The sequence below is a fragment of the Homo sapiens genome, chromosome 14 (genome assembly GCF_000001405.40).
Source record: "Homo sapiens chromosome 14, GRCh38.p14 Primary Assembly".
Lineage (NCBI taxonomy): Eukaryota > Metazoa > Chordata > Mammalia > Primates > Hominidae > Homo > Homo sapiens.
This window is the reverse complement of record NC_000014.9, coordinates 54393194-54420705: the sequence shown is the minus strand read 5'-3', so window position 1 is coordinate 54420705 and position 27512 is coordinate 54393194. Positions and strand designations below refer to the sequence as shown.

The 27512-nt window shown below is 41.9% G+C and overlaps 1 protein-coding gene across 3 annotated transcripts, besides 1 other annotated feature; it reads right to left on the bottom strand.

Annotated features, from left to right (window-relative positions):
* Window positions 488-23699, bottom strand: CDKN3 (cyclin dependent kinase inhibitor 3). 3 transcript variants are annotated; one of them, NM_001330173.2, is made up of 9 exons: window positions 23629-23699; window positions 20730-20812; window positions 19127-19182; window positions 11917-11961; window positions 9000-9222; window positions 4776-4807; window positions 2755-2858; window positions 2400-2492; window positions 488-714 (listed from the first exon to the last, which is right to left on the bottom strand). In NM_001330173.2, exons 1-8 carry the CDS (start codon window positions 23635-23637, stop codon window positions 2433-2435), a joined length of 612 nt encoding a protein of 203 aa, NP_001317102.1. In that variant the 5' UTR covers window positions 23638-23699; the 3' UTR covers window positions 488-714; window positions 2400-2432. The 3 variants fall into 3 exon arrangements, with proteins under 3 accessions (NP_001317102.1, NP_005183.2, NP_001124323.1); NM_005192.4 differs by lacking the exon at window positions 2400-2492; NM_001130851.2 differs by lacking the exons at window positions 2400-2492; window positions 19127-19182 and having other exon boundaries at window positions 20794-20812.
* Window positions 26578-27077: an enhancer, noted in NCBI's record as "H3K4me1 hESC enhancer chr14:54860347-54860846 (GRCh37/hg19 assembly coordinates)". NCBI's record gives its function as "activates a minimal SCP1, AML or CMV promoter by ChIP-STARR-seq in naive H9 embryonic stem cells {active_cell/tissue: H9 hESC(naive)}" and the evidence as "EXISTENCE:reporter gene assay evidence [ECO:0000049][PMID:30033119]".

The window sequence follows — 27512 nt, the reverse complement described above, 5'->3', positions numbered from 1 at the left end:
AGTTCCTAGGGCGGACAAAAGGTGGAGCAGCTGTCTGAACCAGTGAATTCCTTGTCTCTGAAAATGTTCCAGCCCATAGTGAATAAACACCCTTGGGGCTGATCCAGTACTGGGAGGGGGCGAGTGGAAGACTCACAGGATCCTTTTCAATTCCGGAGGTCTATGAAGTAAAAAGCGGAAGAAGTTTTGGGAGGAATAGAGAGGGAGGGGGACATCATTTAAAAGTAAGTTTGGGCACTCATACCAATTCTCATACTTACTACTTTGTCATATGCTACCCAGTGGTTACAAACAGTAAAATGAAGTAAAAGTGCAGTACTAAGTATTAAAAATAGGCATTCAAATATTTTTCCAAATGCATGTTTTCAGCATTACCTCCAGGTAGAATATACCAGAACAACCAATTCATTTCTAAAAGGAAAATTGCATACCAATTTTCCTATCCCAATTTTCCTATTCCTATAAGAAATGAAAGAGACACAACGAGTTTTGTCAATAAAACTTTAGGAATATCTGCACATGTACATTTACATTCAAGTTGATAACACTGGTGGTTTCATTTCAATACAAATTATGCTAGAGAACTGACATTTCAGACATGGTCATATATATGCTATTTGAATTCCTTTATCTTGATACAGATCTTGATTGTGAATCTCTTGATGATAGATGTGCAGCTAATTTGTCCCGAAACTCATGAAGATAATTGTATTGCTGAAAAAAGTAAAGATACATTGGAATACACTGTAGAAAACTAGTTATCAGTGTGGGCACAATATTAGCAGGTATCAGGAATAAAAAAAAATACTTGCTAAGCACAATTCTACATCTTTTTGGGTAAGGAAGCATTTGCATCATGGGGAAGTTTTATCTTTTAGTAAAGCCATATAGTGTGAAAAACTATTGTTCTACAAGTCTCTAAAAATCAGAAGGTGAAATGAAATGTAGATGGATATGTTTTAAGTCTAAAATTCTTTCTCTCTTTACTTACAGGACCAAATAAGATTAAAACAGTACATAATGGCATTATTTTTGCTAACATTTTTCCCCCCTGGTAAGAAGGACAGAGCACTTTCTGTAGCAAGTAACTGGTATATTTAACAAAATCCATTTCTCAATTTATAGAAGCCCTAGTCTTCTGCTTTTTTGTGATGACATAATGCACTAGGGATAATTTTCATAGACAATATTTTTTAAAAACAAACTGTATTGCTAATCTCAGCAGATAAGCAAAATAAAAGCTTTAAATAATTTATTTGGAGTTTTAATAGCCTCCCAAAAGATATTCTTACTCTGCCAATCATCTCATTTCATATCCTTATTGAGATGTGGAAACTGCATTGCTAACACCAGCAAGCCTGTTTGCCACAGAATGCTGAGGTGATAAACTGAGTCTGTAGTAATATGGACTTAATTATCTGCAATGTTAAAGATGTAAAACATATGGATATTCATATATACATCTGGCCATGGCCATGTAGTTTGTTTTCAAGAGAAGAGAGGTGAACTTTTTGGATTTGAAGCATCATTTGATTTTTTTTTTTTTTTGAGACAGGGTCTCACTTTGTCGCCCAGGCTGGAGTGCAGTGGTGTGATCTCGGTTCACTGCAACCTCTGCCTCCCAGGTTCAAGTGATTTTTGTGCCTCAGGCTCCCAAGTAGCTGGGACTACAGGCACACATAACCACCCTGGCTAATTTTTGTATTTTTAGTAGGGACAAGGTTTCGTTATGTTGGCCAGGCTGGTCTCCAACTCCTGGCCTTAAGTGATCCACCCAGCTCAGCCTCCCAAAGTGCTAGGATATAGGCATGAGCCACCGCGCCTGGCCGCATCGTTTGATTTTTAACATAAAGAGAGTTGTCTGTTTCAGACCTGTACAGTGGAGTGGATCTTGTATGGATTGTCCCGTTAATGACCTTATTTAAGCCCTAAGAATCAGGTTGCTTGGTGAATTTATCAGTAATTATGATAATTCACTGTTAATGACACTGGATTAGACCTCCAACCCTGGGAAGATGGGCTCTCAAGTCTAGGGAGCTGCCTAACAGCCAGGATTCTTTGGTGCCCACTCCTCTGATGAGCGGATTCTAATGCTGAGAGGGCACGCTTCTGAAAAGAAGGCACATTAGCTTTACAGATCTACAAAATGAAGTGACATCTGCAGAATCTTTTCAGTAACATGATTAATGCAATATCCTTGGCATTGCTAGTGCAGTGTTTTGAAGTGTTAGGGGAATGTACATGTGGAAGATGTCCCCAGTTATCTACTGCAAAGGATAATTAGCACTGCTTTCCATTTTTTGTATTATAGTCATTCATCTGTCTTTATTAAATGTTTTGGTGATATAACAAGATCTTCCATAGATTTTTTTTGGCCAAGAATCTACCCAAGAACGTACCAAGTTTGTATTAACAATAACCATCTCATTGTCCTAGGTGAGAGGATCCATTCCCAAAACGGACTGGGGCAAAAACTGAGAAGTAGGTAGATCCTGGAAAAGTAAACCAGGAAGTTCAAATTTTCATTATCTTGTTTGAAATCCTGTGTGCTTTTTTAGACTACCTGGATTATATTTACTTGTAAATTTTTAAAAACTAAAAGCATAAGCAAGTGGTATTTGAATAACAGAGTGCTTTGGATTTTCATTTCACTGCCCTTTTGGATTTTCATATGTAACCTTTTGGTTACACATGAATCTGTATTTGTAACAACGACCCCAACCACAACCAAGCAAGCACCGCCCACCTCCTCACCTTGATGGTCTGTATTGCCCCGGATCCTCTTAGGTCTCGCAGGCTGTCTATGGCTTGCTCTGGTGATATTGTGTCAGACAGGTATAGTAGGAGACAAGCAGCTACTAATGGAACATGACAGAAAAATAATATGTTATTAAATAACTAGTGACAGGGTACAGCATTTTATATTTAATAAGACTTCTGTTGATACAGAAGACTGGTGTAATTGTTCCAAATGAATTAAAAGACTGAGACTTTTAGTGTGTGTTTTTGACAGTTAAATTATGATCTTAAATGACCGTATGGTTGAATTAGAGTTTAACACTGGCTTCATTCTTTCATCCATTTAAAGTGTTCATCCATTCAGTGATTTAGTATATTTACAGATATGTGCAACCATCACCACAGTCAATTTTAAAGCACTTCATCACCTCAGAAAGAAGTGTACCCTTTTGCTGTCATCCTCTATTCCCCATCAACCCCTGCCATAGGCAACCACTAGTGTACTTTGTCTCTGTAGATCTGCCTATTCTGAGCAATCACATAAACGGAAACATACAATATTTTTTTGTGTGTGTCTGACTTCTCTTAGCATAATGTGTTCAGGGTTCATACATATTGTAGCATATGTCTGTATTTAATTCCTTTTTATGATCAAATAATATTCCATTGTATAGATATGCCACATTGTGTTTATCTGTTCGTCAACTGATGGACATTTAGGCTGTTTCCATTTTTTGGCTATTATGATTAATGCTGCTATAAACATTTGTATACAAGTCTTTGGGTATATACTTTGGAGTGAAATTGCTGGGTCATATGTTAATGTTTACTTGTTTGAAGAACTACTGCTAGACTATTTTCCAAAGCCGCTGCACCATTTTACATTCCCACCAACAGTGTATGAGGGTTCGAATTTCTCTACATCCTTGCCAATACTTGTTATTTTTCATGTTTTTATAATACCCTTCCTAATTGGTGTCAAGTGGTATCCACTGTGGTTCTGATTTGCATTTCCTGATGACTGATGATGTTGAGCATCTTCTCATGTGCTTACTGACTATATGTGTATCTTGCATGTAGAAAGGTTTATTCGGATACTTTGCCCATTTTTCAGTTATGTTGTTTGTTTATTATTATTATTTTTTCTTTTGAGAGAGACGATCTCACTTTGTCATCTAGGCTGGAGTGCAGTGGTGTAAACTCGGTTCACTGGTGCCTTGACCTCCTGGGCCCAGGCAGTCCTCCAGCCTCAGTCCCACAAGGAGCTGGGACTACAGGCATGCACCACTATGCCTGGCTAATTTTTGTATTTCTTGTAGAGATGGGGTTTCACCATGTTGCTCATGCTGTTCTCAAACTCCTAAACTCAGGTGATCTTTCTGCCTTGGCCTCCCAAAGTGCTGAGATTACAGGCATGAGCCACGACGCCCGGCCTATCTTTATTACTGAGTTGTAAGAGTTCTTTTTATATTCTGGATACAAATCCCTTATCAAATATATAGATTGCAAATATTTTTTCCCATTCTATGGGTAGTCTTGTCATTTTGATAGTATTCTTTGAAACACAAAAGCTTTCAATTTTGATATCATCCAACACTAAAAAAATAACTACTACTCCAGTGTGGCATTTCACGAACTCTTTTTTGTTTTTCTTAGTACATTAAAACATTTTTTAAATTAACATATAGTAATTAACTTTGGTATTCATAAATAGTTACCCATGGAAACTATTTGGAAGTTACTCTATTATAACACCTCCACAGGAAGAACATCAAAAAATGTTAAAAAATAAGAATGCAGGTGTTAAGACTTGTAAATGATGTTTTGCCAGAATCCTCCAGAACAATGCTGAAAATACCTCCCACTCCCACCCAAGCTTTCCAGGGAACACCATGTTTAGGGCCTTAAGTAATCCTTTGAGTCTTAGCAAACTTATATTTTGCTTGGTTCCATTTTAATACAAAATGAACATATGGTCTGGAAACAGAAGTTTGTCTATTTGGCGGTTAAAAAAATAATAGAAATATATTTCTTACCAAGACAAGATCTCCCAAGTCCTCCATAGCAGCTGAAAGGGAAATACAGTTTTGAAGTTTGTACATTTCATTCCATCCCTAGTTACAACTAAAGACTTGCTCTTTCTGCCTTCTATTTACAACTCTAATGCCTAGCACAGTGCCTTGCACACGAAGATTAATAAATATTTTTGATTTAATCAACTGAGAGCAAGGTGTGCTTATTTCTTTGTTGGGAGGAATTCTGAACACCTCTAAGCATCAAGATAGGCAGAGTCTTCTTATTGACCTCTTTAGGTTCCAAGATCCACATCTGAGAAATGGAGCATGTTACCAATAGATAGAAATCAGACTTTTACCAACTGTCACTTTGATTATTCCTCTGTCTAAACAAAATCTGAGTGGTTACTGCACAAATGCCATGTAGATAATAACCATTCATGTATCTAAAGGAGTCCAGAGATAGGGTATCACCGAAGTCTGGAGCATGGGCTCTGGAGCACCACTGCCTGGGCTTCAGTCCTGGCTCTGCCACTTATTAGATGTGTAAAGCTAAGCAAGTTATTTAATCTCTCTGGGACTCAGCCTTTTCACCTTTAAAATGGTGATAGCAATAGTATGTACATCAGAGTGAGGATTAAATGAGGCTCACAAATGAGTGAGCATTTGCCAAGGACTTAGAACACAGCTTTGTGCAGAGTAAGAAGTAAATGAACATTAGCTGCTGTTATCTAGCACTGTAAAGAAATTAGCAGTTTTGTATAACTGGATTTTCCAGAAAAATGGAGATTAATCCTCAGTAGCAAAACTATTCATTTAAGTCATTTTCAAAGATCCTAAAAAATGTATTACATGCTTCCTAATGTACTTAGAGGGTATACTGAGCCTAATTTAGTGTGGATGACTTATCGTTATGGACATCAATTACTGTATTGTATTGTATTGTATTGTAGGTAAAGCTGTAGATATATATTTTGCTTTAGGATGTGAAATAGAGGACTGAATAGGTATTGACCCCTAGTCTTACTCGTGAACTTGCTTTCCACAAAGTGTTCCAGACATAGAACTGTTTCAGAGATCTGGATCTACCATATAAAGGGAGAGGCTGGGCATGATGGCTCAGGCCTATAATCCCAGCACTTTGGGAGGCCAAGGTGGGAGGACTGCTTGAGTCCAGTAGTTTAAGACCAGCTTTGGCAATAAAGTGAGACCCTGTCTCTCCAAAAAAAAAAAAAAAAAAAAGCCTGGCACGGTGGCGCACACCTGAAGTCCTAGCTACTCGGGAGCCTGAGGTGGGAGGATCGCTTGAGCCCGGCAGTTCAAGGCTACAGTGAGCTATGACAGTGCCACTGCACTCCAGCCTGGGTGACAGAGAAGAGACAACTGCCTTATTAAAAAAAAAAAAAAAGATCAAGATAGAACACTTCAGTGTCTTTTTGCAAGATTAATACTATTTTATACCTTTTGCTATTTTCATCTTTTTTCTTCTATTTGATGAATTCCTACTTATCTTTTAAAACCTCAAATTTCATTTCCTAAAATGCCTTTGTGCTCCTACAGAAAGGATCATTTTCCTGTGTGCTGCCTCTCCTGTCTTATTGCAGTTAAATGGTAGTGTTAGTTATAGGTTCCTCGAAGGTGGGGACTGTGCCTCGTTTGGTAGTCTTGGCGTGTGGTACACGGTAGGTGTTACTGGTTGAATTATGTCCCCCCAAAAGACATGCTGAAGTCCTTATCCTGTACCTGTGAGTGGGACCTTATTCAGAATTTGAGTCTTTGCAGGTATATTCAAGTTAAGACGAATTAGAGCAGGCCCTCATCCTAGATGACTAGTGTCCTTACACAAGGACAACACCATGCAAAGACACAGACATCCGAGGAAGTGTGTGATGACAGAGGCAGACTGGAGGGATTCAGCTGCAAGCCAAGGCCTGCCATGGATTGATGGCCACCACCAGAAGCTAGGAAGAGGCATGGAAGGACTCTCCTCAGTCTCAGAGGGCATGGCTCTGCTCTCATCTTAATTTTGGACTTACATCCTCTAGAAATGGGAAAGAAGAAATTTCTGTTGTTTTCAGCTACCTGGTTTGTGGTACTTTGTTACAATAGCCCCAAGAAACTACAAAATACAGTAGGCAAGCAGTGTTGTTCACTAATTTTATAAAGGGCTGCAAATGTCCAGGCAGAACCAGTGAGACAGCACTGGTAGACAACAGGTCAGTGAAAAAGGTTTACCAGATCCTGTTGCTGAAGGATAAGCTCTATAGCTGTCTAGAAGTGTGGGTCCTCAAAGATGGCAGAATGGATAGAAAATAAACTAGTCACCGTAGGACACCTTCGAAAGCTCTAGGACAATGAAAAATGCCAGTTGTCAGATGCTTTATTTTATGGGAGACTGAAACATTCAGCATATGCAAAGTCACCCATCTACTGTCTATCCTGTTTGTACTCTGCACAAACATCAGAGCATTTGGGTTGCCAGAACCAGCTACAGTAGAATTTGTTAAGCTTCACTTCACTAAACAGAGCTAGTTTGATTTCTGGAAACTTTTCAGTAGAGGCTGCTTTCAAAAATTTATTTGAAAAAAAAAAAAAAGATCTCAAAATGGTTTGAAAAATAGGGCCCTATGTTGGAAAATATTTTTCCCCAGCTACATTTAACTATCTAATACTATTTTACCTATATGTATCAGAAACTTTCACATCATCAACTGGATCTATTTGAAATTTAGCTTTTATAATTAGTACTGGTTAAGTGACTATGCTTTTTCCATAGAGGAAGATGGGAAACAATAGGATGTAGAATGGCTTCTAGTTCTCTACTGCATATTCTGCAAACTATATTTCTCTGTATGTCAGAGTTCAGTTTGGCCACAAACAGGTGTGTGTCCCCAAAGACCCTCGTACTAGTTGGTTTGCCTTCAGAACTGACACTGTTGGCATGAGGCCCCTGGGCTATAGGTTTAAGAGGAGAAGTTGGCTGGGCTTGTCCTATGACTAGGTGCCCTGAGAACCCCATGGCTATTTGATATAATTTCTATACTTCTAGCTCAAAGCAATGTCCTTAAGGAACTTGGGGCTTTTGAGGTCGTAAACTATTTAATACCCTACCTTATTCGAGAAAGGATTAAGCAGGTTATTAGAATATGAAATATACATTATGCACGGCAAAGTCCAGTTTCCTCCCCATGGCTGGCTCTCTGTTGCTTTGTGTGTTTCACTTCCGGCAGAGCATCTCTTGTTTTTTATCCACATCGCCCCTTTGAATCTTTGCCATGCTACTATCTACTGCCCATTGCCACTCTCTCTGGCCTTCCTCCAAGCTGCTTTTCTTTCCTCCTCATTTTGTCCCCTTTCCTTAACCCATCTTCTTTTGTTTTAAACTTTCACACCAGCAGCTTGTGTTTTTATAGCCACTGACACACAATGAGAGGCCCTCTTTCAATCTGTTAGCAGTCATATCATCAAATGTAATTTTCAAGTCATATTTTTAGGATTGCTTATTGCTTAGAGGTAACTTTTTTGGTAGCTAATTTTGAAAAAATCGACTTTCTTTATTTTTTTTTTTCTAGATGGGGTCTCCCTGTCACCCAGGCTGGAGTGCAGTACTGTCACCTTGGCTCACTGCAACCTCTGTCTCCCAGGCTCAAGCAGTTCCCCCACCTCATCCTCCTGAGTAGCTGGGACTACAGGCACGTACCACCATGCCTGGCATGTTCTTTTGTATACTTTTTGCGGAGATGGGGTTTTGCCATGTTGCCCAGGCTGGTCTTGAACTCCTGAGCTCAAGTGAGCCACCCACCACAGTCTCCCAAAATGCTGGGATTACAGGCGCGAGCCACTGCACCTGGCCAAAAAATTGATTTTCTTGCTATTGAAAGCAACTAAGCAATTGAAAAGCTAATAAGTGAGGCAGTGATGGTGATGAGGGGAAAGGAGGGTCCCAAAATTGCAACTAAAGGTCTAAGACTAAAGGAAAGAAATAAAAAAGAAAAGCTTGTAACCTTGTTCTAACAATTTCCAAATCTACTCATTTATTGTCCCTACTCTTGAAAAGTAATAACAGCACGTATTTGACTACTTACCCTGTACCAGACATTGTGCCAGTGCTTTCCTAGTGCATTATTACCTTTTAATCCTTACAACAAACTATGAAGTAGGTGATAACTGAATAGGGCTACCATAATTCCAGAAATCATTTTGACTGAGACATTTCTCACATAGTGTATGGAGAAAAGAACGTACTGTATTAAGGTTTTTCGGTAATTTTTAAGGCAGGTTGTAAGCTCTTCCATTATTTCACAGCAGCTGGCTATGTCAGGAGTCCCTCCATCTGCGATTGGATGATGATGGGTGATAATTCCACATTGCTGGTAGAGATCCAGAAGGTTTGGGACTCTATATTTTGACAGTTCCCCTCTGGTGCAGAAAACAAATATGTCTTGTATACCACAGCTCTTTAGTTCTTCTGCCAATAGACCAGGATACACAGACACACACACATAGAAAACATCACACATTTAAATACCATCAAGAGGGAGAATATGAAATTAAATTTCTTAAGCCAAACTAATACCAAATGACAATCTATAAATCTGAAGTGCCTATTGATATGTCTGAATCAAAAGGGGTCTAGAATTAAACCTCATATTACAAGTCAAAATGCCTTTTACTGAATTTCAAAATAAGTCAATTGCTGTTCTTGCAAAAAATTTTTTTTTGCAATGAATACTGCTTTAAAATAACCCCCCCTCTTTTTTTTTTTTTTTTTTTTTGAGATGGAGTCTTGCTCTGTCACCAGGCCGGAGTGCAATGGCACGATCTCAGCTCACTGCAACCTCTGCCTCCCAGGTTCAAGTGATTCTCCTGCCTCAGCCTCTCAAGTAGCTGGGATTACAAGCATGTGTCACCACGCCCAGCTAATTTTGTATTTTTAGTAGAGACGGGGTTTCACCATGTTTGTCAGGCTGGTCTTGAACTCCCGACCTCAGTTGATCTGCCCGCCTCCGCCTCCCAAAGTGCTGGGATTACAGGCATGAGCCACCATGCCTGGCATAAAATAACTCTTAAAACACTTAAAATTGAGTAGCAAATATGGTTGATTTTGTGAGAAAAAGAAAAAAAGTGCTATCAATTAAGGTATGATAGATCTATGTTCAATTAAGGATGATAGCACTTTTTTTCTTTTTCTCACAAAATCAACCATGTCTGCTACTTCATCACTTAGCTGTTTGCTTGACTCTGAGTATTGTATATAAAATCTCCAGCATGGCCATGGTGTCAGAGGTGCTAGTATTCTCCCTCATATCTGCACTGTAACACATCCTTGTGTATTTAATTTTATAGACTAGGTCGCCAGTAAATAAAACATTACCTGTATTAAACTTCTGTGACCTAGCTATTCTCATTATAATGATATGAATACTATAGGCATTCTATACACTAGGACTTCTTTATGGCAATATTAACTATTGAGCATTTGGTTTAAAATAAATAACTGGATGATCTAAGTGCTCCCAACTCCAGCCCTCTCCCTGTCCCTTAAATCCAAGGACATGTAGCTATTTAAGTACAAAGTACCTTCTCATGAACTAATCCCTGAGATGTACAGTACTATACATCTATTTGCCTTTTGTACACATTTGGTAATTTTTATTATCCAGTGATTTTCCAACTTTCTGAGAAAGGGCTAAGAAAGTATCTCAGGAACTGCTGCAGGGAGATTCTAGGTCTCCAATCAAACATATTGACCTGTTTTATGTACTGGATTCCATTTAAGATTTCATTGCAGAAAAAAAAGTATTTTGAAAAAAATTGGAAACTGTTTTTATAGAAAATGCTAAATGAATATGACATTCCAAAATGTACAAGACTGACTTTGAACCAATGATTTAAATTACATATATTTTGCTTATGACCTAAATGTTCTCCAAATAGAAATTTCCTAGCATGGTGGGTGTGTCTAAAGCAGAAAAGTTTTATAAATACTATAAGGGTCAACTATCTATTACTGTCTTTAAGTCTTTTTTTGGTAGGTAAGGAATACTTTTTTTTTTTTTTTGAGGCAGGGTCTTGCTCTGCCACCAGGTTGGAGTGCAGTAATGCAATCTCAGCTCATTGCACTCCAGCCTGGATGACAGAGCAAGACCTTGTGATCTCAGCACCATCTCAGCTCACTGCAGCTTTGACCTCCTGGGCTCAAGTGATCCTCCCATCTCAGCCTCCCAAGTTGCTGGGACTACAAGCACGCGCCATCATGCCCAGTTAATTTTTGTATTTTTTGCAGAGACAGGGTTTTGCCTTGTTGCCCAGGCTGGTCTCGAACTCCTGAGCTCAAGCGATCAACCCGCCTCGGCCTACCAAAATGCTGGGATTACAGGTGTGAACCACTGCACCTGACCAGGAATAAATTTTTAAAAGTACATTAGCAAACTGATGTTCTAGAATAACCACGAAAAGTTTTTAAGATTCAGAAAATCTATACTAGTTAGAATCAAGCAATATATACATTTTAATTTGCCATACTATAAGGATATCGGTAGGACTAGTAGGTTTGAGACATTCCAGGCCAATCAGAATAAAATCTTTTGAAAATCCACATTTGTTAGTATCATGCAATATGTAAATTCCAAATTGGGGCAGATTATGAGGATTATTAGACTTGTGGCTATAATGGTATGAACATCCTTGAGCAGGCAACAACCAGTTCCCATTCTGTCTTTTCCATCTAGATGCTGGCTCTCAAAATTTTCCATCCAGGATTCACAATTTCACTGCTAACTTGGAGTTCCCAGCTCATGTTTAATTTCTACTACCACAGTCAAGTCTGCAAGGAACAGTAAAGACCTGGGGGGAGCAATATGTCAGTTTCCTATTTACATACTTTTTTTCATGCCAACTTCTACATTCTAACCTCAAATGTAGTTTATATGTATAATATAACTACAACAATCAGTGAAAAGCAACTCCATGGTTAGGTAAATGATGGTCTTCACAAATACCTCTTTACATATCAGAATAAGTCTATAGTTTGGAACTTCACACAATATTGAAAACTTATTTTTATATTAAAAAAAAACTGATTTGTTCTTTTTGACAGAGAGTTTTTCAATGCTATTCATTTAAAAAACCCATGAGTGTGGTTGCGTGATATTATACCTACCTGTATCTTTTTGGACATTTCTTCTAACATCTTTAAATTTACAACCTATAAGTAATAATAAAGCAAGTAAAAAAGTCAGTTTTTCGTCATATGTAACAGGTATGTTTAAACACTTATATAGCTACTTTATAAAGTCATTTCACGTAATCATTTATATGTTTCAATTATATTTTGAATATGAATTTCAATTTCTTATATTTCTAGGAATATAATTACAGGGATTCATCCTAAGCAAGGATTCTGTATTCTGTGTTTCTTCTGTAACAAGTACCTGGTTGTAGTCCTCAGCCTCATTTGTACTCCAGGCTTTAAGCTTTATTAAGATTGGCAAAGTACAAGTGTAGGGCTGTGACTGCAGATCTGGAAGGGCTGAAAGGTAGATCTATGTTCCTTTAACTATAGTCCACCATGAGGGCTTCGCAAAGTGTGTTCCCCAGTGCTGATGGTCTGTGAAATTTACTTATTGCCCAGTATAGAGAATGATGTGTTAGTTGACCAAATACTTGTTCTAAATATATTGTTGGCACGGATGTGGTGAAAAGGGAACACTTTTACACTGCTGGTGGAAATGTAAACTAGTACAACCACTATGGAAAACAGTGTGGAGATGCCTTAAAGAACTAAAAGTAGAACTACCATTTGACCAGCAATCCTACAACTAGGTATATACCCAGAGGAAAAGAAGTCATTATATGAAAAAGATACTTGCACACACATGTTTATAGCAACATAATTTCCAACTGCAAAAATGTAAAACCAGCCCAAATGCCCATCAATTAATGAGTAGATAAAGAAAATGTGGGATTCCCGGGCAAGATGGCTGAATAGGAACAGCTCTGGTCTGCAGCTCCCAGCAAGACCAATGCAGAAAGAAGACGGGTGATTTCTGCATTTCCAACTGAGTGGTACTTGGAATGCCAGCAAGACAGAACCATTCACTCCCCTGGAAAGAGGGCTGAAGCCAGGGAGCTGAGTGGTCTTGCTCTGTGGATCCCACCCCCAACGGAGCCCAACAAGCTAAGATCCACTGGCTTGAAATTCTCACTGCCAGCACAGCAGTCTGAAGTCAACCTGGGATGTTCCAGCTTGGTGGGGGGAGGGGCATCCACCATTATTGAGGCTTGAGTGGGCAGTTTTCCCCTCACAGTGTAAACAAAGCCAGTCGGAAGTTTGAACTGGGTGCGGAACCCACCACAGTGTGGAAAAGCCATGGTAGCCAGACTGCCTCTCTAGATTCCTCCACTCTGGGCAGGGCATCTCTGAAAGAAAGGCAGCAGTTCCAGTCAGGGGCTTATAGATAAACTCCCTTCTCCCTAGGAGAGAGCACCTGGCGGAAGGGATGGCTGTGGGCACAGCTTCAGCAGACTTAAACATTTCTGCCTGCTGGCTCCGAAGAGAGCAACAGATCTCCCAGCACAGTGCTCGAGCTTTGCTAAGGGACAGACTGCCTCCTCAAGTGGGTCCCTGAACCCCGCGCCTCCTAACGGGGAGACACCTCCCAGCAGGGGTCGACAGACACTTCGTACAGGAGAACTCCAGCTGGCATCCGGCAGGTGCCCCTCTGGGACGAAACTTCCAGAGGAAGGAGCAGGCAGCAATCTTTGCTGTTCTGCAGCCTCCACTGGTGATACCCAGGAAAACAGGGTCTGGAGTGGACCTCGAGCAAACTCCAGCAGACCTGCAGAAGAGGGGCCTGACTGTTACAAGGAAAACTAACAAACAGAAAGCAATAGCATCAACATCAACGGAAAGGACGCCCACGCAGAAACCCCCATTCAAAAGTCACCAACATCAAAGACCAAACGTAGATAAATCCGCGAAGATGAGGAAAAACCAGAGCAAAAAGGCTGAAAATTCCAAAAACCAGAATACCTCTTCTCCTCCAAAGGATCACAACTCCTCGCCAGCAAGGGAACAAAACTGGACAGAGAATGAGTTTGATGAACTGACAGAAGTAGGCTTCAGAAGGTGGGTAATAACAAACTCCTCCAAGTTAAAGGAGCATGTTCTAACCCAATGCAAGGAAACTAAGAAACTTGATAAAAGGTTAGAGGAACTGCTAACTATAATAACCAGTTTAGAGAAGAACATAAATGACCTGATGGAGCTGAAAAACACAGCAGGAGAACTTCGTGATGCATACACAAGTATCAATAGCTGAATCGATCAAGCAGAAGAAAGGATATCAGAGATTGGAGACCAACTTAATGAAATAAAGTGTGAAGACAAAATTAGAGAAAAAAGAATTAAAAGGAATGAACAAGGCCTCCAAAAATATGGGACAATGTGAATCAACCAAACCTATGTTTGACTGGTGTACCTGAAAGTGACGGGGAGAATGGAACCAAGTTGGAAAACACACTTCAGGATATTATCCAGGAGAACTTATCCAACCTAGAAAGACAGGCCAACATTCAAATTCAGGAAATATAGAGAACACCACAAAGATACTCCACGAGAAGAGCAACCCCAACACACATAATCATCAGATTCACCAAGATTGAAATGAAGGAAAAAAATGTAAAGAGCAGCCAGAGAGAAAGGCTGGGTTACCCACAAAAGGAAGCCCATCAGATTAACAGCATATCTCTCTGCAGAAACCCTACAAGCCAGAAGAGAGTGGGGGCCAATATTCAACATTCTTAAAGAAAATAATTTTCAACCCAGAATTTCATATCCAGCCAAACTAAGCTTCCTAAGTGAAGGAGAAATAAAATCCTTTACAGACAAGCACATGCTGAGGGATTTTGTCCCCACCAGGCCTGCCTTACAAGAGCTCCTGAAGGAAGCACTAAACCTGGAAAGGAACAACTGGTATGAGCCACTGCAAAAACATACAAAAATGCAAAGACCATCAACGCTATGAAGAAACTGCATCAACTAATGGGCAAAATAACCAGCTAGCATCATAATGACAGGATAAAATTCACACATAACAATATTGACCTTAAATGTAAATGGGCTAAATGCCCCAATTAAAAGACACAGACTGGCAAATTGGATAGAGTCAAGACCCATTGGTGTGCTGTATTCAGGAAACCCATCTCACGTGCAGAGACACACATAGGCTCAAAATAAAGGGATGGAGAAATATTTACCAAACAAATGGAATGCAAAAAAAAGCAAGGGTTGCAGTCCTAGTTTCTGATAAAACAGACTTTAAACCAACAAAGATAAAAAAAGAAAAAGAAGGGGATTACATAATGGTAAAGGGATCAATGCAAAAGAAGAGCTAACTATCCTAAATACATATGCACCCAACATAAAAGCACCCAGGTTCATAAAGCAAGTTCTTAGAGACCTACAAAGAGACTTAGACTCCCACACAATAATAGTGGGAGACTTTAACACCCCACTGTCAATATTAGACAGATCAGCGAGACAGAAAATTAACAAGGATATCCAGAACTTGAACTCAGCTCTGGACCAAGCAGACCTAATTGACATCTACAGAACTCTCCACCCCAAATCATCAGAATATACATTCTTCTCAGCACCACATCGCACTTATTCTAAAATTGACCACATAATTGGAAGCAAAATACTACTCAGCAAATGCAAAAGAACAGAAATCATAACAAACAGTCCCTCAGACCACAGTGCAATCAAATTAGAATTCAGGATTAAAAAACTCACTCAAAACTGCACAACTACATGGAAACTGAACAACCTGCCCCTGACTACTGGGTAAATTAAGGCAGAAAAAAAGAAGTTATTTGAAACCAATGAGAACAGAGACACAATGTACCAGAATCTGCAGTGTTTAGAGGGAAATTTATAGCACTAAATGCCCACATGAGAAAGCGGGAAAGATCTAAAATTGACACCCTAACATCACAATTGAAAGAACTAGAGAAGCAAGAGCAAACAAATTCAAAAGCTAGCAGAAGACAAGAAATAACTAAGATCAAGCCGGGTGCGGTGGCTCAGGCCTATAATCCCAGCACCTTGGGAGGCCAAGGCGGGTGGATGGATCATGAGGTCAGGAGATCGAGACCATCCTGGCTAACACGGTGAAACCCCCGTCTCTACTAAAAATACAAAAAAATTAGCTGGGTGTGGTGGTGGGTGCCTGTAGTCCCAGCTACTAGGGAGGCTGACGCAGGAGAATGGCATGAACCCGGGAGGCAGAGCTTGCAGTGAGCCGAGATTGTGCCATTGCACTGTAGCCTGGGCGACAGAGTGAGACTCTGTCTCAAGAAAAAAAAAAGAACTAACTAAGATCAGAGCAGAACTGAAGGAGATAGAGACATAAAAAGCCATTCAAAAAATCAATGAATCTAGGAGCTGGTTTTTTTGAAATGATTAACAAAATAGATAGACCACTAGCCAGACTAATAAAGAAGAAAAGAGAGAAGAATCAAATAGACACAATAAAAAATGATAAAGGGGATATCACCACTGATCCCACAGAAATACAAACTACCATCAGAGAATACTATAAACACCTCTACAAAAATAAACTAGAAATCTAGAAGAAATGGATAAATTCCTGGACACATACACCCTCCCAAGACTAAAGGGACTTCTTCCCTCCCAGGAAGAAGTCGAATCCGTGAATAGACCAATAACAAGTTCTGAAACTGAGGCAGTAATTAATAGCCTACCAACCAAAAAAAGCCCAGGACTAGATGGATTCACAGCTGAATTCTACCAGAGGTGCAAAGAGGAGCTGGTACCATTCCTTCTGAAACTATTCCAAACAATAGAAAAAGAGGGAATCCTCCCTAACTCATTTTATGAGGCCAGCATCATCCTGATACCAAAACCTGGCAGAGACATAACAAAAAGGAAAATTTCAGGTCAATATCCTTGATGAACATCGATGCGAAAATCCTCAGTAAAATACTGGCAAACTGAATCCAGCAGCACATTAAAAAGCTTATCCACCACGATCAAGTCAGCTTCATCCCTGGGACGCAAGGTTGGTTCAACATATGCAAATCATTAAATATAATCCATCACATAAACAGAATCAGTGACAAAAACCACATGATTATCTCAGATCTGGAAAAGGCCTTTGATAAAATTCAACACCCCTTCATGCTAAAAACACTCAATAAACTAGGTATTGATGGAACGTATCTGAAAATAATAAGAGCTATTTATGACAAACCCACAGCCAATATCATACTGAATGGGCAAAAGCTGGAAGCATTCCCTTTGAAAACCGTCATAAGACAAGAATGCCCTCTCTCACCACTCCTATTTAACAGAGTATTGGAAGTTCTGGCTAGGGGAATCAGGCAAGAGAAAGAAATAAAGAGTATTCAAATAGGAAGAGAGGAAGTCAAATTGTCTCTTTTTACAGATGACATGATTGTATATTTAGAAACCTCATTGTCTCAGCCCAAAGCTGATAAGCAACTTCAGCAAAGTCTCAGGATACAAAATCAATGTGCAAAAATCACAAGCATTCCTATACACCAATAACAGACAAACGGAGAGCCAAATCATGAGTGAACTCCCATTCACAATTGCTACAAAGAGAATAAAATACCTAGGAGTAAAACTTACAAGGTATGTGAAGGATTTCTTTAAGGAGAACTACAAACCACTGCTCAAGGAAATAAGAGAGGACACAAACAAATGGAAAAACATTCCATGCTCATGGATAGGAAGAATCAATATCATGAAAATGGCCATACTGCCCAAAGTAATTTATAGATTCAATGCTATCCCCATCAAGCTACCATTGACTTTCTTCACAGAATTAGAAAAAACTACTTTAAATTTCATATGGAACAAAAAAAGAGCCCATATAGCCAAGACAATCCTAAGTAAAAAGAACAACGCTGGAGGCATCACGCTACCTGACTTCAAACTATACTACAAGGCTATAGTAACAAAAACAGCATGGTACACATGCCAAAACAGATATATAGACCAATGGAACAGAACAGAGGCCTCAGAAATAACACCATACATCTATAACCATCTGATCTTTGACAAAACTGACAAAAACAAGCAATTAGGAAAGGATTCCCTATTTAATAAATGGTGTTGGGAAAACTGGCTAGCCATATGTAGAAAACTGAAAGTGGACCCCTTCCTTACACCTTACACACAAATTAACTTAGGATGGATTAAAGACTTAAACCTAAGACCTAAAACTCTAAAAACTGTAGAAGAAAACCTAGGCAATACCATTCAGGACATAGGCATGGGCAAAGACTTCATGACTAAAACACCAAAGGCGATTGCAACAAAAGCCAAAATTGACAAATGGGATTTAATTAAACTAAAGAGCTTCTGCACAGCAAAAGAAACTATCATCAGAGTGAATAGGCAACCTACAGAATGGGAGAAAATTTTTGCCGTCTATGCATCTGACAAAGGTCTAATATCCAGAATCTACAAGGAACTTAAACAAATTTACAAGAAAAAAACAAACATCCCCATCAAAAAGTGGGGTTGTAAAGTATAATAAAAAAAGAAAATGTGAGATATACATACACACACACACACACACACACACACGCACACACATGCCATGGAATACTACTCAGCCATGAAAAGGAACAAAATGGCATTCACAGCAACCCGGGTGGAACTGGAGACTATTATTCTTTTTTTTTTTTTTTTGAGACAGAGTCTCGCTCTGTTGCCAGGCTGGAGTGCAGTGGTGCGATCTCGGCTCACTGCAACCCCTGCCTCCTGTCAAAGCAATTCTCCTACCTCAGCCTCCCAAGTAGCTGGGACTATAGGCACGTGCCACCATGCCCAGCTAATTTTTGTATTTTTAGTAGAGACGGGGTTTCACCATGTTGTCCAGGATAGTCTCTATCTTCTGACTTCGTGATCTGCCGGCCTCGGCCTCCCAAAGTGCTGGGATTACGGGTGTGAGTGACTGCACCCGGTCACTGGAGACTATTATTCTAAGTGAAGTAACTCAGGAATGGAAAACCAAACATCATATGTTCTCACTCATAAACAGGAGGTAAACTTTGAGGACACAAAGGCATAAGAATGATACATTGGACTTCGGGGGCTGGTGGGGAACAGGTGGAAGGGGGATGAAGGATAAAAGACTTCACATTGGGTACATTGTATACTGCTCTGGTGATGGGTGCACCAAAATTTCAGAAATTGCCACTAAAGAACTTATTTATGTAACCAAACACCACCTGTCCCCCCAAAAGCTACTGCAATAAAAATATATTAAAAAATATATACATATTGATAGGAAGCCCATTATTGTGTTACCCACCTGGAAGAGCACATAAACCGAGAAACTGAGAACAATTCACTCGTGACAAAGATAGCCTGAAAAGAAGAAAAATTTTTCATGTTTAGTTAAGTTTTTAAAAAGTTATAAATGGAAATTCAGTTTAATCAATATGGGTGCTTGCCACCAAATAAAGTTGTGTTAAAGTTTTACAGTAGTCACAAAGTAAGAATTCACAGTTAAGTATCAATATGTTGGTCACAAAAAAAAACATAGAAAGACAAAGTTTTAAAACAGGGACTTATTTGCTTTGTTATTATTTAAGTCTTAAAAATGACAAGTTAGGCTGGGTGCAGTGGCTCATGCCTATGATCCCAGCACTTAGAGAGGCCAAGGCAGGCAGGCTGTTTGAGTCCAGGAGTTCAAGACCAGCCTGGACAACAAGGTGAAATCCTGTCTCTACAAAAAACAAGAAAACAAAAAACCAAGTTAATTTAAATTTACCTTAAAGATAATAATGCCTAGATTGCCAACCGGTAGTATACGGTGTACTTATGTTATCCTGTGGTATATTACCTGAGATAATTTGTATTAGTGATTTAGGAAAATGAATTGGAAAATGACTATTGGACAATTTTCTCCCCAGCATTTATTCTACATTACTATTTTAAGATTTTTAAATAGAACTTCCTTAACAGATATAATTTCATATGATGAAAACCACAGGTTTTTGGTTAAAAAGAAATAATGTGAAGAAATCATATTCCCAGTTTGCAGTACTCAGGGACAGAGGCTCACCTTGTCTGCATGTCAGAAGATGATTTAAAGGAAAACAGGAGGCATCATCTAAATACCACCTGACTTTGAAAATTAGATGAATTTTTGTGTTTAAATGGGAGTTTTAAGTGGAAATGGAAAGTAATGCTATTTGATGGCAGGACAAAAGACCTTTAGGACACTCTTTCTCTTCTGACAGTAGGGATAGTGCTTTCTTAAGAAGAGAGACTATTATATTTGCAGTGATGAGAGAAAGCATTTGATTGCTCATTGTAAAGAATCTGGTATAACCATAAGTCACTTGCCAAGATTAAAAGGCTGATTTTATGTAGAAACTTTTTGTTATTGCATTGATGTGGCTTTTATCTTAAACAGAGTCTGTTGATAGATGCATTACTGTGACATTACTTCTAAGTATTACCTAGGATTTGATTTAATGAGAAATGATTAAATATCTCATCTCATATTTGGTATATTATTCTTTTGTCATAAAAGAATAAGTAGATTTTGATACTAAATGGGAGATTATTTCAATCCTACCTCTATTTCCTACTTACTTCCTTCTACTAAGTTAGTAGAAGGGCCAAAAAAAAAAAAAGGGTCTTATAAAGAGTAAATGAATCATGGAGTTAGAATGTATAAAGAAGGGCCAAAAAAAAAAAAGGGTCTTATTCTGTATTATAGATAGTAAATGAATCATGGAGTTAGAAGATCCTTTAATGATTAGAATTATATAATCAGAGGGGGATAATCCCTTAACATTTTCAATATGTGAACTACATTCTACTAAGATTATGATGTAACTAAATTTACATTTATGATGTAGATTGTGATTTTAGCTCATCATTGATCAGAAATGCTAACATACCATGATATATGAATTGGAGTCTGTTCATCTTCAATAGGCTCTTCATCTGATGAGTCAAACTCACTTGTTTGTATTGAACTGGGCTTCAAAAGAAATGTTATGTTAAATAACTGTAAAGAATTTTTTTGTAGTTTTAGGATAGCTAATCCTTGTCTAAACACACACTGAATTCATATTTGCAATGTATTCAGCCATCAATCCAGAATATTAACGAGATCAGCAATATTAATAATAAATGACTGCTATTTACCTTCCTATTAATAATTATAGCACTGCATAGTGGAAAGAGAGTTGGATTGGGAACCAAGAAATCTGGCTTCTGATCTTGGTTCTGCCACTTACTGTATACTCTCTGACAAGCCACTTCAGTTGGTTCTGGATCTCGATTTTCCTCAACTATAAAGTGAGGAGATTTATTCATTCACAAATATTTCTTGGCCACCTTCATTTGCCAAGCACTGGAGATGCAAAAGATCTATAAGATAAATAGCCTGCCTTCAGTATGGCTGGAGAGACAGATGTGTGCATAGATTACAGAAGAAAGGTATTATATAAGTGCTGAAATGGAAGCAGAACTATACACTGTGGAACAGAGAAGAGAGTGACCACGTAGGTAGCTGGAGAAGGCTTCACAGAGGAAACGCTTTAGCTGGGTTTTGAAGGAAGAGCAGGTTTTAAAGAAGATAGGAAAGGGAGGGTGCGGTGGCTTATGCCTGTAAATCTCAGCACTCTGGGAGGCGAAGTTGGGCAGGTCACCTGAGGTCAGGAGTTTGAGACCAGCCTGGCTAACATGGCAAAACCTGGCTCTACCAAAAATACAAAAATTAACCAGGCATGGTGGCACATGCCTGTAATCCCAGCTACTCGGGAGGCTGAGGCAGGAGAATCCCTGGAACCCAGGAGGCAGAGGTTGCAGTGAGCCAGGAACACACCACTGCACTCCAGCCTGGCTGACAGGGCATGACTCTGCCAAAAAAAAAAAAAAAAAAGGAAGAAGAAAAAAGAAAGGAAAGAAGTTAAGCCAAGGGCTTGTGTATTGAGGAACTGTGATATCAAAATAGAGATGGAGTAGAGGAGATGAAGTAGTTTTGCCCACCCCTTTTCTCAAAAAACATCCCCACATGGCCTAGTAGTTTGGTGGGGGTGGTGTAGGTGAAATAACCTGCCTCCAACTTTATGAATCACTAGACTAGAGAGATTGAGATAGACTTCGTATGCTGATCTAAGCAGTTGGAACTTAATCCTGCAGCATTTTGACATGGAAGACTTCTACACTCCTTGTTGAAATTTTAAGGAATCAAAAGAAAAAGAAAAACAAAAACAAAACAGAACAAAACCCATACCCTTTTCTCACTCCCTAGTTGAAACCAATTGAAAGATAAAGAAATGGAGTTTTATTATTGTATATCAAATGGAGTATGCAGCTTAAAGCTGTTGCCACGTGGGCTTGCCCCTTGTTCACCCCAGAATTAGACAAATGTATCCACCCAGTCACAGGTGGCCATGGACAGTCTGGGGCTCCTGTGTGCCAGAGAGTGGACCAGAAAGCACCTTCTGCAGGCAGGCAGGTAGATCCCAAGAAAGAAGGAAAGAAAAAGTTGAGATACTGGTGTTCAGTTCCTTCCAAACTCGGGGATCAGATAACTCAATGGGGACAGGTGGAGAAAGAGGCCAGGAGTGAAGGACAGCTGATGTCCCTCCACATGGCAACATAGGGATTAGCAATTGTAAGCACCTAATGCTCTTTCTAGCTCTGAAGCTATATTCTACAACGGTCTTGGTACTAGAAGATCACAGGACGGCTAATTTAGGCTACGGACTTTTTTTTCTTTCTTTCTTTTATCTTGAGATAGGGTTTTGCTCTGTCGCCCAGGCTGGAGGGCAGTGGCGTGATATCCGCTCACTGCAACCTCTGCCTCTTGGGTTCAAGCTATTTGCGTGGCTCAGCCTCCCGAGTAGCTGGGACTACAGGCGTGCACTACCACGCTCAGCTAATGTTTGTATTTTTAGTAGAGACGGGGTTTCACCGTGTTGGCTAGGCTTGTCTCCAACTCCTGGCCTCAAGTGATCCGCCCGCCTTGGCCTCCCAAAGTGTTGGGATTACAGGCGCGAGACACCACCCGGCCCTAGGCTATGGATTTCTGTTGCTTTGGCTCTATCTGAAGTATTATAATCAACTGCACCCAAAGGAAAGGCTTCCAGTAGGTTGTCAAGCCGGGCAGTAGGAAATATGGGTTAGGTGGGGGATCTTCAGCTCCTTGCCTGCATCTGTTTTTTCTTTAAAGCAACTTTGATGATTCATATTTCAAATTTGTGTGGCCCATTCACCAGGTTTATTAATCCTAACAGAGCTGGACGTTTCTGCTTCCCCAGGCCCTGTGATTCTGAACGTCACGGGAAAAGAGCAGCATTGCCAGGTGGCCCTGGGGCATGGTGACAGCGGTGGTGTCGCCCACAAGCCGCGGCGTGGCATTCGTACTCAAGGTTTCCCCAGGCCCTGTGGGCGCAGGTAGCGCCCGGCCACCCTTCGGGGCTGGGGTATCGCGCCCACTCATCGCTGACACTCAAGCTCTTCGGCTCGGTTTCCTCGGTACAACGAGGCTCGGCCCTCTTTGGCTGGGCGGCTGGGAGGCTTATGAGACCCCGCAGGGGACAGGTGACAGCCCACAGCAGGTGCACAGCGAATGTCCGTCTTTCCTTCGTCGGCCACCGACCCTGCTCCTTCGTCTCTCGTGCCCGTGCTGGGCCCGTGCGAGTCACCTCCCCGACCCGCAGAACGGTTACGGCGCCAGTCGCACTGCTACCAGGCTAGGGCTGCCCTCCGGCCCAGGATCGGGTCCCCGGGACCGCTTGCGTCCCTGCCGCCTCGCTCCTCCAAACCCCAGCACGTCCGACTCACCGGCTTCATCGCTGGCCGCCCCACGTCGAGACCAGTGCCGCCTCCCTCTGCAGCGCCGGCGACTCACCGGTGCCCCGGCCGAGCCCGCGCCCCGCAGCTTAGCTCACTGGTTCGTCCTTCTGTGAGGTGGGCGCGGCGTCTTCCAGCAACCAATCAGATCCGCTTCTGGTTTCTTACTCCGCCTTTGGGTGGCCGAAGACTCGGCCTCTAATCGCTGACTGGTTCCTAGAAGACCTTTGAAAGACGCGCGGGAGGCGGGCCCTGTGGGACGTTGATTGGCTGGGAGGGCGCCCTCCTCCCGCCAGTTGGGAGAGTGCAGGGGGCGGAGGCGGGGCGGAAGAGTCAGAAGGCGGCCCTAGCGCTTGGGGGACGCTGGAAAGCTTTGCTTCTTGATGGCAGGATGTCAGCGTGGTCCATACGGTTGGGAGGTGATTTTTTTTTTTTTCTTGAGACGGAGTTCGCTCTTGTTGCCCAGGCTGGAGTGCAATGGCGCGATCTCGGCTCACCGCCACCTCCGCCTCCCGGATTCAAGCGAGTCTCCGCCTCACCCTCCCGAGTAGCTGGGATTACAAGGATGTGCCACCAAGCCTGACTAATTTTTGTATTTTTTGTAGAGACGGGGTTTCTCCATGTTGGTCAGGCTGGTCTCGAACCCGGGTTGGGAGTTTTTGTGTTTGTGACGGAAGTCTTACTATGTTGCCCAGGCTGGCCTCGAACTCCTGTCCTCAAGCAATCCTCCCGCCTTAGCCTCCCTTGTAGCGGCTACGGTAGGGAGTTTTTGTTTCTTTAAGTTGTATTTTTATTTTTTATTTTTTAAGGGCTCAGGGAAGCACTGTATTGGATCGTCACATGAAAAACATCACATAGACTTTGTAATTATATCTAGACATACAAATACTAGGGAAAAAACTAAAAATTTAGAGTATAAACATATTTTATATGCTTGAAGTTTTAGTTTATCGTTCCAGAAACTAGACAAGTTACAGTGTAGATCAATATTCCTGTCCCCCAAATATGAATTAAATTATATTGTGTGAAAGGGAAATTATAAAATGCCAGGTAAGATAGGTCTAAGGGCCAGTGTGTCTACATAATTAGCTGTAATCTTTTAAAAATGTGAGTATTTCTCCGCCTTCTCCAGTCCCCATTTAACTAGCCATGGGAAAGGAAGTCGCCTGGAGCAGATCTGAGAAAAATATGCAGAAATTTCAACCCCTGATTCATGTTGTGAAAGCCAATGGGTATAGAGCTATTAGAAGGAATTCCTTAGTAAAGAAGGTACCACAGTTTGATTTAGAGACTGTATTAGCTAGTCATGGTTGCCCAGAGATAAAGAATGAATAGGATGTGTATATATGGATATAGAAACAGATTTATTTTAAGGAATTGGCTCCTGTGCTTGTGGAAGCTTGGAGAGTCCAAAATCTGATGGGGGGAGGCCAGTGCGCTGGAGACTCAGGAAAGGCTGTACTTCGAGTCCAAAAGCTGTTGTAGAACAAAGAAGAGCCAATATTGCATGTAAAGTCTGAAGGCTGTCTACTGGCAGAATTACCCCTTGCACAGGGCAGGGTCAGCCTTTTGTTGTATTCAGCTCGTCAACTGATTGGATGAGGCCCATCCATATTATGGATGGCAGTCTGCTTTACTCAACGTTTCCCAATTTAATGCAAATCTCATCCAAAAACACTTTCACAGAAACATCCAGAATAATGTTTGTCCAAATAACTGGGCACCATGGCCCAGTCAAGCTGATGCACAAAATTAACCATCCTAGACACCCACAGAGATTTTCCATACTCGGGAAATCCTTTTAGATCTGTGCTGTTCAATATGGTGACCATATTGGCTGATTATCTCAGGCCAAATTAGAAAACAAAATCAAATCAAAGGCCAAATTAGAAAACAAAATTTTTGTGTGAACTCAAGGGCTACTTGGGAAATACTGCTCTCTTTTAATATAGATCTGCTTCCTCAGATGAAGGCCTTAGTAGGGTTAAGGAACAGACCACACCCACCACGTATTTATAGCTATTGTTTTGATATGTAGGTTTCCATTTCATATTAGAAACGGCCATGGTACTGTGTACAAGAGAATGTAGGTGGGTATGCATGTCTAGACGTAGAATCCCGCCTTTGGTCAAATAATGAACCCGTATTTAGGTGCACCTATCGACAGGTGACAACGTGCTAGCAGCCCTCACTCGCTCTCAGTGCCTCCTCGGCCTTGGCGTCCACTCTAGCCACGCTTCGGGAGCCCTTCGGCCCGCCGCTGCACTGTGGGAGCCCCTCTGTGTGCTGGCAGAGACCAGAGCTGGCTCCCTCTGCTTGCGGGGCAGTGTGGAGAGAGAGGGAGGCGCGGGCGGGAACCGAGGCTGCGCGCAGCCCTTGAGGGCCAGCGCGAGTTCTGGGTGGGCGCGAGCTGGGTGGGCTCCGCACTCGTATGGCCTGAATTGGTGGGTTTTTCGTCTCACTGACTTCAAGAATGAAGCCACGGACCCTCGCAGTGAGTGTTACAGCTCTTAAGGTGGCACGCCTGGAGTTTGTTCCTTCCGGTGTTCGGAGTTTTTTCCTTCTGGGTTCGTGGTCTCACTGGCTCAGGAGTGAAGCTACAGACCTTCAGTGAGTGTTACAGCTCTTAAGGTAGCGAGTCTGGAGTTGTTCATTCCTCCCGGTGGGCTCATGGTCTCGCTGGCTTCACAAGTGAAGCTGCAGACCTTCATGGTGAGTGTTACAGTGTTACAGCTCGTAAAAGCAGTGCGGACCCAAAGAGTGAGCAGTAACAATATTTACGGCAAAGAGCAAAAGACCAAATTTTCCCCAGTGTGGAAGGGTACCCCAGCGGGTTACCACTGTTGGCTCGGGCAGCCTGCTTTTATTCTCTTATCCGGCCCCACTCACATCCTGCTGATTGGTAGAGCCCAGTGGTCTGTTTTGACAGGGCGCTGATTGGTGCGTTTACAATCCCTGAGCTAGACACAAAGGTTCCCCACGTCCCCACCAGATTAGTTAGATACAGAATATCTACACAAAGGTTCTGCAAGGCCCCACCAGAGTAGCTAGATACAGAGTGTCGATTGGTGCACTCACAAACCCCGAGCTAGACACAGGGTGCTGATTGGTGTATTTACAATCCCTGAGCTAGACGTAAAGGTTCTCCACGTCCCCACCAGACTCAGAAGCCCAGCTGGCTTCACCCAGCGGATCCCGCACCGGGGCTGCAGATGGAGCTGCCTGCCAGTCCGCCGCCGTGCACCCGCACTCCTCAGCTTTTGGGTGGTCGATGGGACTGGGCGCCCTGGAGCAGGAGGCGGCGCTCATCGGGGAGACTCGGGCCGCACAGGAGCCCACGGAGGCTGTGGGAGGCTCAGGCATGGCGGGCTGCAGGTCCCGAGCTCTGCCCGCAGGAAGGCAGCTAATGCCCGGCGAGAAATCGAGTGCAGCGCCGGTGGGCTGGCACTGCTGGGGGACCCAGTACACCCTCCGCAGCCGCTGGCCTGGGTGCTAAGCCCCTCATTGCCCGGCCTGTCTGCTTGGAGTGCGGGGCCCGCCCAGCCCACGCCCACCCGGAACTCCAGCTGGCCCGCAAGCGCCATGCGCAGCCCCGATTCCCGCTCTCCCTCCACACCACCCGGCAAGCTGAGGGAGCCGGCTCCAGCCTTGGCCAGCCCAGAAAGGAGCTCCCACAGTGCAGCGGTGGGCTGAAGAGCTCCTCAAGTGCCGCCAAAGTGGGAGCCCAGGCAGAGGAGGCGCCGAGAGCGAGCGAGGGCTGTGAGGACTGCCAGCACGCTGTCATTTCTCACTCGGAGCAGCCGACTGGCACCGCCAGCCCTGGGCAGTGAGGAGCTTAGCACCTGGGCCCACAGCTGCGGAGGGTGCGCTGGGTC